The 13,375-nt window shown below is 35.2% G+C and overlaps 1 protein-coding gene across 25 annotated transcripts in view; it reads right to left on the minus strand.

Annotated features, from left to right (window-relative positions):
• Positions 3,281–13,375, minus strand: part of FREM1 (FRAS1 related extracellular matrix 1) — a 173,844-nt gene continuing 163,749 nt past the window's right edge. For 22 of the 25 annotated variants that reach the window (NR_163238.2, NR_163239.2, NR_163242.2 and 19 more), the window contains 4 exons: positions 13,052–13,180; positions 12,482–12,597; positions 6,278–6,363; positions 3,281–3,724 (listed from right to left, as the gene is read on the minus strand). Coding sequence is in view for 22 of the 25 variants with exons in the window: in NM_144966.7 (NP_659403.4) it covers positions 3,525–3,724; positions 6,278–6,363; positions 12,482–12,597; positions 13,052–13,180 (531 nt within the window). In the remaining 3 variants the exon portion in view is untranslated. The remainder of the gene's footprint in view (positions 3,725–6,277; positions 6,364–12,481; positions 12,598–13,051; positions 13,181–13,375) is intronic. The other 3 variants (XM_017014325.3, XM_047422859.1, NM_001370058.2) reach the window with 1 other exon arrangement.

Raw genomic sequence — 13,375 nt, forward strand, 5'->3', positions numbered from 1 at the left:
CTATCTGCTCAGAATGCTAATAGATATGTGGAATAATTAGAAAAGATTCAGCCTAAAATGTGGAAGACCTCAGTTCTAGTGCTGATTTCTTCACACAGTAACTTTCTCTGTTGTAACATAAGAGTATTAAATAAGATGATATCAAAGGTATCTCTCTTTAATTTCTGTTATTCTAGGAATCCCTAAAATACAGAGACATGTACTCATCATTTTGGAAAAAGTAGTTGTTACAAAATCAATTAACTAGATATAAAAACTTTAGTTCCTAACTTGATTCTGGAGACAGAAAATTTGAGACGGCTGCTATCAATAACACTTTGACCTGATTAAAAGTTAGGAAGTTAATATCAGTTTCTTAATCAAGAAAGAAATATAACAAAATTCAGCCTGAGCTGTTTGTATCTGTGTGTTTCCCTTCAATTAGGAAAAGGGATAATGTAATCACTGATTTCCACTGTGACTTCCTTCCTGATAAAAAGCTTGAGGTGTAAAAAGCTATTATAAATTTGCATATATATGCTATGCTTTTATACTTCTGTTTTTATCTTATTCCCTACAATAGCTCCAGTATCTGGAACAATGTCAGTTGCATGGTTGGCATGCCATGTTCAATATTTGTCAAATGAATGGTGGTTGGATGTATGGACACATGGAAGCGATACAACGAAAGGCTGGTCTGACCAATAAAGATAAAAAACATGTTGACTTTTCTCCTCCATCCCTTGCTAAATAGAATCACTAAAATCCAAAACCCATGTGCCCCCAGGAATAAGATAAAACGTTAAAAGCTAAAGGAAAGTGTCTCAGAACTTAAAACAAGTTTATTAATTTTGCTACAACACTAGATGTAGTACATTTAATATGCTGCTTTGTTGCAGAAATTAATCAGCACCAGTTTATGGTTTAAATTATACAGTACCATAATGTAAATTAAAATATGTGCATATCTTTTTGGTTGTATTAAAAATAAACAAAAACAGAAGTTAAATTAATGTCACCTGGTTCATTTTCACCACTTCTTGGAAGGAGATGAAATGATTATCATATGTTGCTTAAGTTTATTGTTAGCAAATAGATGCTATGTTTTTGTTAAAGACCAAACAATCAGAAGATTCTGAAAAGCTAGACACTATTGAGCTGGACTGACGCCCCTGGACACAGTGGGCCTTTTCCTGAGGTGGTATTGAAGTTTGGGGAGAAAAGCTGGGTACATTCAGGTCCTTCTTGACGCTTTCCTTCCTAGCTACCATCAGTTCCCATCCTCTTCTGTTCAACCCATCTCATCTCTCTCTCCCGTAATCTCTCATTCCCATTCTACCCATTACTCCAATTCCTTCCTTCCCACTCCCATCAGAAACTATCAATCAAGGCAGAGGGAACCTTGACAATCATTTACTTCTTTTCCCCCTGAGTCAAAGCTCAATTGTAAGAATAAAATGAAGGTTGTGATGAATACCGCCCATCACCCAAACTTGCCTGAATTTCTATTTTTATCTTCTTAAAATGACTTGGATTTTCTAATTTGATTAATGCTTTCATGATCAGGAATATTTTTAAATATTCTTGTAGCATTTCTAATTGTTATAAAAATCAAAACACTCTTTATGCTAACATTTGCAATTAGTTCAGTATCATTTATCATTTATATTGCAGAAATGTATAATAAATCTGCCATGCTGACAAGGTTCTACACAGTTGACATAGTTCTAGATTTCCAGTTTTAGATGGTTTATATAGTTTTAGAGTTCCAGTGGAAGGAGTGGCCCTTGAATCCCTCATTTCCCAAACTTCTACTTCCTTCCTAGGACTTAACCCTTTAGGTAAACAACTATTTTTTCTTTAGCCCAAATCTCACATTTCCATACTGCAAGAAGCCTGTGGACCAGAAGGAATTTGAAAGGAGCTGGTAAGAGGATAGGTGTGGCATCTTTTGGTTAAATGCCAGAAACTGCTTGTGTCTCACAGAGAACCTGTACATTATGCCAATCTGGAGCCCACCTGCGACATCTCAGGTAAGGACCCTCTGACACTATAATTATGTTTAGATTTAAGTAATAGACAGAATGTCTGGATCATATTCCAATATCTCTTTCTAAATGTTTCTATTAATTACAACCTTGATAAATGAACTGAAATAAAAAAAGCTTGCCATGTTTTTATATCCCAGAAACTGAACTGACTTTCTTCAAGCAGTTTTAGTGTCTACAACACTCAAGGTATTTTTATAATAAAACCAGCACCAGAGCTCTAGCCTACTTGATAACCCCAATTTGATTCTGAAGTTACATTGGTGCTCATAGAGCAAGTGACATTTGGCACAACCATATTTCTCAGTGATTATGAAAAGAGAAAAACTTTAAATAAATGTTTCAGACATTCTAATTTCCTATAACTGTTAAACCTTGATTTCAGAAGGGAGTTCTGGTAACGCTGCAACATACTTCATTGTTACAAAAATGTTCCACTCACCTGAGATTATAAATTAATAAGGTACCTTTCCGTTAGAGAATCTAGTTAACATGGCATTTCTGCAAATATTAAAGATTTAAGGTGGCTCAAAATTCCTCAAAATCCTTTCCGAGAATGTAGGCTTTCAGGGGCTCTGTTTTCGGTATTATTTTTCTCTGTTCATCAGCACAGTTCATCAGGACATTTCTGAGGAAGCAGTATTTTTCTTCCATGTGTCAACCATCATTCATATATACTCCTTATCCCAAGTGTCCCTGAGAAATGCTTGTCAGTACAATAAACACAGAGGAACAGATTATGTTACTTGAAATTTCTCATGACTCTGTAAGGCTGGGGAAACCCAATCATTAGCTTTGGGATGGTACAATGCCAACACTCAAATTGGAAAGGGAGATCTGTTTCATGAATAGTGATGAGTAGAACTCTGAGTACAGCCAGCCCCCCGAATTCTTACCTGAACTACAGCTTTGTAGATGAGCCTCCACCTACAAGATTCTTTCATCTAAAGTCTTTCTTTTTCATCATAGAAAATTCTCTTTTTCAACCCCAGCCTCTAATCTTAGATTTCACATTTAAAGGGCTCCAAAGGGACAACTTTGCGGTTCAACTTTGGTTTAATGAACTAGTAGAGTTAGCTTCACTCAGACTAAAGTGGTAGGAGCACCTACGATACATATTTCAGAATAAATTCATTAGAGGTAACGGGACCAAAAATTTTTTTTAAAAAAATCCAAGGACTATGAGACTGGTGCTCCCTGAGATTTGGAATGGGGTAAGGGTGAGGGTCTTCTGGAATAAACAAACCTTACACTTTATAATACTGCTGGCATTTATTTTAAAAGGTATTGAGATACAAAAATTGTATCTTATCTTGTAAAAAATATTTATTTATCAATCTTTCTGGCACTATTAAAAATGTCCCATTTTCACTAGACAGAATCACAAAGGTATACCCACTCAATCATAACAATTTGTTTTCTATGGAGCAATATTCACAGATCCTGTGAATAAATAGGTGACAAACTCCAGGTGGCCCCCTGTAGGGTCTGTTATATTTAGAGTTTTCTGGAACACACATAATTATGAGGTTTGGCTCTCCTACAGTCTTTTGTTTGCCATTTCCCTTGTCTTTGAACCAAAACACAGCTCTTTCCAAGCTTGGAGCGTTGAGAGGGCCCTCTTCTCCCATTGGTGAAGGCAACAGGTTCACCACCGATCCACTCCCAGTGGCCAGCATGCACTTGGTCGTTCAAACCTAATGTGAACCAAAAGAATGTACCAATTACTTTTATTGCGTTTATACTTAGATATCATATCCAGCTGTTGCTCTAAGCTCAGTTATCACATGCAAGTGTGGGCCCAGGTTCTAAAACAAGGGATAGGAACTTGGAATACTCTAAGACACAAACGGTCAAACAAATCCCAGTCCAATTCTAGCTCTACCACTTACTTGCTAGATGAGCATCTTTGGGCAGGTTACTTAACCTCTCTGAGTTTCAGTTTCCTCATCTAAGGAATGGGCATAAAAATAGTACATCTAGGGTTGTTTTGAGGATTAAAAAAGATAATGCATGTAAAGCTCTTGGCATATATAAGTGTTTAATAAATGGCAGCTATTATTATTATTCATATCATCCTACATGCAGAACTCCTATCACAGGGAAACAGATATTCTCTTGCATATTATTTTTCTTCCTCATTATTTAAATGTCCTGGTTTTCATATTTGAAAGTAGCTTACTATGTATTATTTTGAGTCTGGAGCTTAAGATGTTTCAATCTGCTACAATTCCAATAAAAAGCAGATTTTCTCGACTTGCCTCTCTACCTCCACTGGCAAATTTTGCAAATTACACTTTAATGTTGTAAAGCTTCTGTAATATTTTCTTAAGCATTCCCCTACTCACTCTCTTTCATAATAGAAATAAAAAAGAATAAAATGAGAAAGGAACTCCCTGCCATAGCATGATCCGACATTCCCCAAATCAAATTTGACCATGAAAACAGTCCTAGATACATAACATTTTACCTTCCCCAACTGTTTTTCAGTCTGTATTTTTGGGTGGAATGAAATGAAATACTTTTGGTTAGGAATGCCCTCCCTGAATTATTGATTAGTGACATTCTGCCTAAGCATATTGTGAGGACAGAGCCTTGCAGTGAGTCATTATGGATGTAGAGAAAACTTATCCTCCAGCTTGTCTCTTAATACTCAGTTCATTTCAGAATTTAGGGACCCACTGAGCACTGCAGAAATAGTGAAAGCCAAGAGAGGGAACTATTACAGTTCCCTCAAATACAACGCCTTTAAAGAGAAGTAGTGGGGATACTGACTTTGATGCGCCCTGAAAATTCTGTTTTTAAAGTGGTTTAAAAGATTTGTCATTTGGCCGGGTGCGGTGGCTCATGCCTGCAATTCCAGCATTTTGGGAGACCGAGGCAGGTGGATCACCTGAGGTCAGGAGTTCGAGACCAGCCTGGCCAACATGGTGAAACCCCGTCTCTACTAAAAATACAAAACTTAGCCAGGTGTGGTAGTGGGCACCTGTAATCCCAGCTACTCAGGTGGCTGAGGGAGGAGAATTGCTTGAACCCAGGGGGCGGAAGTTGCAGTGAGCCAAGATTGCACCACTCTACTCCAGCCTGGGTGACACAGTGAGATTCTGTCTCAAAAAAAAAAAAAAAAAAAAGATTTATTATTGTTAAAACTGTAGAAAATATTAAGACTTCAGAAAAGAGGGAATAAAATTAAAATCACCTATATTTATTATTATTATTATTTGAGACAGGGTCTTGCTCTGTTGCCTAGGCTGGAATGCAGTGGCACAATCACGGCTCACTGCAGCCTCAACTTCCTAGCCTCAAGCACTCCTTCCACCTCAGCCTCCCAAGTAGGTGGGACTACTGTTAGCTGCCACCATGCCTGGCTAATTTTTAAATTTTTCACAGAGACAAGGTCTCACTATGTTGCCTAGGCTCATCTCGAAATCCTGGGCTCAAGCAATCCTCCAGCCTTGGTCTCTCAAAGTCCTAGGATTACAGGCGTGAGCCACCATACCCAGCCTACCTATAATTCTTGACTGGAGGTAAGTCATTTCTAATTATTTGGAATATATATATATATATATATATATATAATTCATATATATATATTCATATATATATGAATATATGTATATATTCCAATATGTAAATATTATATATATTTATATATACAAATATAATATATATTTATATTTATACATACACCACATGCATATAATTGTTTTTATTCTAAATTATTTCATACTTTATATGGATGTGGACCCTGCATTTTCACTTTGCACCTTGCCATAAATGGAATACACTTTACATTTTATATGTAATATAATGTGCATCCAACATATATTTGTTAAATGAATTAATAAACGTAAGGCAATTTTTCATGTCTTTATTATTTAATGGCTTGCAAAAACATTAAATCTTACATATTCCTTCATGTGGCTGTACTATAATTTATTTAACCATTCTTTAGTTATAGCAATTTCTAATTTTTTGGTTTTAGAAATGTTATTGCATTGAATTCTCTTGCCTGTCAATCTGACCACATTCCTATTTATTTCTTTGGGATAGATGTCTAAAAATGAAAGTAGTGTGTCAAAAAAAAGGTTTAAGATGAGTTTTAAAAGATAAATGGCTAGATCTATTGGTTGCCTATTATTGTAAACCACTATCATTTAACCCATGGAAGGAAGTAGCAGGGTGGTGGTGCCTGTTTGTTTCATGTCCTTGCCTCCCTCCTCAGTGCAGCCTCCCTCCCAGATACTTGCCTATCCAAAAGGACTTTCTCCCACCAATGTCCCAGAGCCACCGCATGTGCTGCCTGGAGAATACAGTTACAAGGTTGCCCAGGTATCTAAATGCAAATGAAAATGAGAGTATCAGCAACAAGCAGTTAACATTTCTGCTGATACGAAATGCATAACAGAAATAAAAGTAAGTTTAAAATACACAAAAAAGTAGGTCTTTAAAAAAACTTTCTAAGATTTTAATAGTGCAGTTTTATTTAAAAAGTATCTGCAGGGTGGGGGTAGGTGACATCAAAGAAAGTGATGGTTTATTATAATATCTGGGCTTTACAGCAAAAAACATCGATAGGTTTTCAAACATAAACAGTAGGTTTCAAACATCTTTTTGGAAAATCAGCAACTGCCTACTTATAACAATTACTTATTTAATGACAAAATACTATTCTTCTCATAAGTGTATTTCTAGCTGGTATAAATTTGGCAAATACCAAGTTAATTTGATGAGTAAGTTAACCCAAACTAACTATTTAGATAAAATTACTTCAGGTTTAAATTTGGAGCTTAGTGGGTTTAGCCAAATAAACACATTATTATGACTTCATTATACTCAATGAAATGAGTATAGCCCCAACTGTCAAACCTTCATATAATGCACAGAAATTAAAGTGCTTGTTTTTACAAACATATGTAAAATATTTTTCACAAAACAGAATTTTTTATAAATTATTTTTGCAGCTAACTGAGTTATTCCTAGAAGCGATATTTGATTGTGCCTAATTCCCCAGCAGTGCTCATTAAAACCTCTTTAAAAATGCTTTAAGTAAGAAGCCACTAAGTAATTCTTTCTTCTTTAAAAATAAAAAAAACAGAAAGTTTCAAACAAGAAACAAATATATCATGTATACATGTATCATAACATTACATTGTACCCTACAATGTAATTTGTATTATTTGTCAATTAAACATAAAATTAAATTTTAAAAAATAATTTTAAACACTTAAAAAATCAAACAAGGAAAAAAATTAAATCACCATGATCTTTTTGCCTGGTTAATATCCATTGATATGAAAAGAAAAGTAGGAAACAAAATTAGCAACACATTCGGGCAGATAGCTGTTAAATTTAATTTTATTTATTTTGCCTATGTCTTTTCAAAATTCAGATCTATTTCTCTGCTTTTCCAGACTAGATATGGTGAACATAATTTGTCTATTTTTAAAGGATTTCCCTCTACTAATAACAGTATTTTGCTGCTGTCTGATGCAATGATGATTTCTAGGCCTTCTTAGATATATAAGGCTCTTTGCCCCTCCACTGAATGGCCTTAGACCGCTGGATTGGGTTTTGTGACTTGGCTCTGACCTCATTATTGACTCTCAGCTCCTGTCTGACAGTTACAGCAGGTATGATGAGGCATCTCCTCTCCTCCCCTCCCCAACACATCCAACACGCTCACTCTAAAGCGCTGTAGGCTTAGAACACACAATATGAAACTTGGGTTAAATATAAGCTGAGGGAGGGCTTGAGGGACTGTCCCAGTCACTATGACATTTTGTACAGAGCATGAGAGACTAGGATTCTACTTCCTGATTACCCCTTAATTCCCTGACTGAATTCCCTAATTCTCTTATTGAACTAATTTGCTTACTGAAATTCCCTAACTTTGCAGCCTCAACTTCAGCATCAGGATATAATGGGTTTTATTCAAGGATATTTAACATCTTCTCTAGCTTGAAGATTCCTGAAGCTATCTTTAAAACAAACTTGGTAAAATCCATTTTAGCTGCCCAAGTACAATTTCGGTTTTCTTTTTGACTCTCCAGAAAGCAAGAAGTTCCAAAAGAGTGAGATGGGAAGATAGCTCTGCTTCAAGACAGGTAAAATGTTAAGAGCATAGTTATTCGCAAAAGAAACATTTAGGTATTCATATGTTTATTATTTTAGAAAAATATCACTCCTTTTATTTTATGCTCACATACATATAAAATGTGGTGGGTATTATCTGTATAGGTGTATATATGGATATAAAATTATAAATAGGTACACATACACAAATATTTGTAGTATAGAATTAGAAACAGAAGCTTTAATTTTTCTGGCTATAGAAATAAACATCTACTTCTCTGAAAATTTTTGATTAAGTATAGGTAGACTTCAGGGTAACTCTAAGGATAGGCCAGCAGGGGTTCCAGACACTCCTGCGGGAAAACAAAATGGCTTCATAGATAATGCTCTATAATAATATAATTACCAAATGTACAATGACTGCCTGAGGAAATGAGCAGATGAGATTACAACATGTAAATTCAAGAAGTGCATAATCTAGGAGTCTGGCTCCTTTGACTTAGAAAAATAATAAAACACCACTGGGGAGGAAAGAAGACTAGAGATAAAGATTAAGTTGAGTTAGCAATCTGGTTAGGGACAAAGGATAAAGCAAAATTTGCTGTCCTTGTGGAAATATGGGTGTTGTGAATGACCCTCTGTAAAGGACTTTCAGAAATATTTGTTAAATGAATGTATCTATAAACTAGGAATTTGATCATACCTTAGGTTCGCCTTGAAAGGTTAGTTTGATTCAAATCCAGAGGAAACTTAGGATCCATAATTTAATAAAAATCTTATATGTGTTTGCAGTGAGAGAAAAACAATTATTAACACATAATTTTGAAAATCTACTTTGGGTTACCTCAAAACATAGTTAAAATAGACATACTTGTCAGTACACCTATGATGAGAAACCTGCTATACTTAGGGGACCTGTTTTAGAGAGTATAAGGATGAAAAACTAAATTCTATCTCTTTCATTTACTTCCTTGTATACCTGTGAGCAAGTGATTTCGCTTCCTTGAACCTCTTTTTAAAATAAATCCATAAACTGTAGATAAGAGAAGTGATGGAAGGATCCAATAAGCTAATGCATGTGAAACAATTTCATATACTATAAATATAAAAGTAAGACATTATTGACAAGGAGGCATGTAGAACTACAGTCAGGCTAATATAAAAGGGTCATGGGTGAAGGTGCTTAAAACCAAGCTGCAGATGAAATCTTAGATTAAGTGCATGAGAAAGTATCTATGCTTTTAAATTAATTTAGGCCTTAAGTTTATTATTGTGATGATCGAATGGTACAGTATTCATAGATACGTGAAGAACTCATTGCTACTCACCAATAGAACCTAGTCACAATTATTAATAGATGGAACAATAAAATGAAAACAAAAGATGATGGGAGACTGATGTAGGTTTGTCAACATGAGGGCATCGACAATGTTATAAGTTGCTATTATTTCATAAAAAGTAGTTTTTGACAATAAAAAGCTAGACTATTATAATCTCGTAATAAAGAACAGTCCTTTAAAAAAACACACTTGGCAATGTGACACCACCATCCATGACTGAATGGAAAGATATTTCTCAATACTTACTGTCCTTATTTTTCTCATACATTAAGAACCAATGAAAGCTTCATTATAGACCAGTTACTTGCATTGGCCTTTAAGAACCATTGGAAGATGAACAAAAGATAGCTTCTAAACTTCAAGGTGGGAAGTTCTGTTCATCTACATTTTATCAACAAATCCCAGCAATCACCTAACCTTGATAACTTTGGCTGGAGTATAACTACTCTTTCCCTTAATTTTGTAAGCAGAGACACCATAGTATTCTCCCTTTTGTTGCATACTGCAATCATCTTCTTGCTAGTTTAGATAGCTTTTGATCAACATCAAAGCCCTTTCCTCAAGGAGAAAAAAAGACCAATACCACTACTTCTACTGGAGCTTTCAGTGCATTACGACAAACTAAATGACATCTAGTTAAGATGTCATTTTAACAGCTTAACCATCTTAATGACGGAAGAATGTCTTATTTGTTCTTTAACATGTAGCACTAAGGAAATATATGTATTTAAAGCAATTATTATTTGTAAAAATTTTAATATTTTATCTTATTTGATACCACCAACTTATCAACCAAAAAAACCCTGAAAGCCACTGATTAACCTCTCTGGTGACTCTACTCACAGTTAAAACATGAAATACACCAGTAGAGAAAAAGGTGGTTTAACTAGTTTTTGAACACACTTTTAAAACATTTTATTCGCTTTAAAAAAAATCTGGGTATAATTTACATATAATAAAATGAATAGATTTTTAAATATTCAATTTGATGAATTTTGCCAATTGTATATACATCTATTTAATAACCACTTACAATAAGACATTGAACACTTCTCTTACTTTAGAACGTTACCTCGTGCTATTTTCTAGTCATTCCACAATCTTACCAAAGATAACAATTTTTTATTTCTAACAACATAGATTATATTATCTTATTTATATAAATGCAATCATATAATAAGTATTCTTTTGTGTAGGGCTGCTTTCTCTCTATGTTCCATTTTTGATTTATCTACATTGTTGGACGCTTCAGTATTTTATTCCATCACTTATAAAATAATTTATCAAAAATTTATTCTCTTGCTGATGGAGAAAATATCAAGTATTTCTAAACATCAATAACAAAAAACAAATGACCCAAATTAGTATTATTATGAATAAAGTTATTATACAACATTTTTATGAAGCTTTTTTAGTATGTATTTTTATTTCTTTTAGTTAAATACCTAGGAGTAGAATATGTTAGGTCATAGGGTAGATGCATATAACTTTATAAGAAACTGTAAGACAGTTCTACAAAGTGATTGTACCATTTTACACTTCTACCAACAACACATGAGAATTCTATTTGCTCTGCATCTTTAGCAACATGTGGTATTGTCCACCATGGAATACTATGCAGCCATAAAAAAGAACAAGATTATGTCCTTTGCAGGGACATGGAGGGAGCTGGGGGTCATTATCTGTAGCAAACTAATGCAGGAACAGAAAACCAAATGCTGCATGTTCTCATAAGTGAGAGCTACATGATGAGAACACATGGACACATAGAGGGGAACAACGCACAGTGGGGTCTATTGGAGTTTGGAAAGTGAGAGGAGGAAGAAGATCAGGAAAAATCACTAATGAGTAATAGGCTTAATACCTGGATGTTGAAATAATCTCTACAACAAACCCCATGACATACCATTTACCCAGGTAACAAGCCTGCACATTTACCCCTGAACTTAAAATAAAAGTTTAAAAATTAAAAACAAATTTGGATTGTCATATTTATACTTCAAACTATTCTAGTAGGTGTGAAGTGGTATTTCATTGTGGTTTTCATTTTCATTTACCTAATATCTAACGGTTTTGAGCAGCTTTTCATTTATTTATTGACCAACTGGACATCTACTCTTGCGAAGACTCCAAATCATTTATTATTGTTTGAATCGTCATTTTGTCATTGATTTGTTGAAGTTGTTTGTATTTTCTGGGTTTAAGACCTTTATCAGGTTTATGATTTGAGAACAGCTTTTTCTGAATATGGTTTGCTCTTTCATTTTCTTAATGGAGTCTTTAGATGTGTATAACTTTTTAAATTTTATGAAGTACGAGATCAGATCAATAATAACCAGAGACTTCCCTAGTCTCAATTTCCAGCCATAGGGCATATTAGTCTAATTGTGTTGTTTAGATAATATCCAGATTGGCAAACAAAAAGGAGGGTCAGGGATAGGTACATATGCATTTTTAAAGTCCTTCTGGACTACATACATTGGTTGTCATTCTCTGACCATAAGTTATCCTTTATTGAATGTTCTTTTACCCAGTGAGCCTTTGTCTTACTTGCCCAGCTTTATAATCATTGCTGTATAATCGCATTGCTAGAGGCCCGACGTTATAAGGCTTTTCATTACTATATACTTTCAATTAAATGGGCAGGAATTCTTATCACATAAAAAAAGAAACTGCAATGCTGCTGACTCAGAAAATCTTCTGATTTCCTCACAAAGACTGAGATAGGAAAAGAAAATAAAAGAAAAAGAAACATGGCAATGGTGCAGCTTTAACAGAAAAGAGCTCAGTCAAATATTAGGTTGGTGCAAAAGTAATGGCAAAAACTGCAAGTACTTTTGCACCAACCAAATACATTATCAAGGCCCATCACAAATCCATTCTGAACTAGGGAACTCCCTCAGGGCTCCTAAAACAAAGCCAGGCAGATATTAGGCACTCAATACTTGTTGAATGAATGAAGCAGCTCTCCGCTTCCATGAGCAAATAGAGAAATAGAGAAAAGAAAACACCAATCAAATGTGCAATAGGGTGCCTTACTGTTCCCTGCAAGCTTGGGCAGCCGCATTCCAGGTGCCTTTCTGCTCTGTGATCAAGATGTGACAGTAGCCTGAGTGCTGGTGCCACCCGGCTGGACAGGATTTGTCTTCCACATCCTGAAAAACAGTTGTCTGTGTTCATATCATAATGGTCTTTACAATCTGGAGTTGGTTCAGCATAAGGAGTCCTACGAGTTCCCTAACTTCAGTCAAGTAGTTTGGTTACCACAAAGGGAGTCAGCCCTAATCCCAATTCTCCATCTTGAGAAATACAATGGCTTCTTACAGAAAACACTACCACAGTCAGCAACGTTTCATTGTTACAACTTTGACACTCTGATAACTGAACAAAATAAGTAAACATCTTCTTAAATGGTATTGATTTAACTAACATATTTTGTGATTTTTAAAAAGCCACTTTGGGCCATTTTTTCCTCTTGGCCTTCAAGTTGTTAACAATGGCAGGAAGATGTAGCATGGGTTGAGTCATGCACCAGATGGTTCCCCTCTATTAGCTTATCATAGAGCACATTGCGAATAAAGGTGCTTGGCTGCTCAGCCTGCCTCCTACCTTGGTTTGGGGACTCCAGGCTTTCCAGGCGATCCCATTGCACTGATACAGCTTCTGGATGCCTTCTTCAAAATGGAAGAGTCCCTTTAATTCCAGAGTGCAGTTCTTTGGAAATGAGGGCAACTGGTCCTTTGGGAAGGAAAGGCAATTTAGCAATTTAGAATTGACTTAAGGAAAGTTGCTCACACATTCACCTCCTTTGGGTCTTCATTTGTTGGGAAGCATTTGTGTTGGGTAAACTATCCCCCCAACCTTGGAGGCTATTTTGTGAATTAAGTGTGTTTCTGGCCCAGCAAACAACTTGTTATAAGGTGAGTAAGAAGG

The sequence above is a fragment of the Homo sapiens genome, chromosome 9, assembly GCF_000001405.40.
Source record: "Homo sapiens chromosome 9, GRCh38.p14 Primary Assembly".
Lineage (NCBI taxonomy): Eukaryota > Metazoa > Chordata > Mammalia > Primates > Hominidae > Homo > Homo sapiens.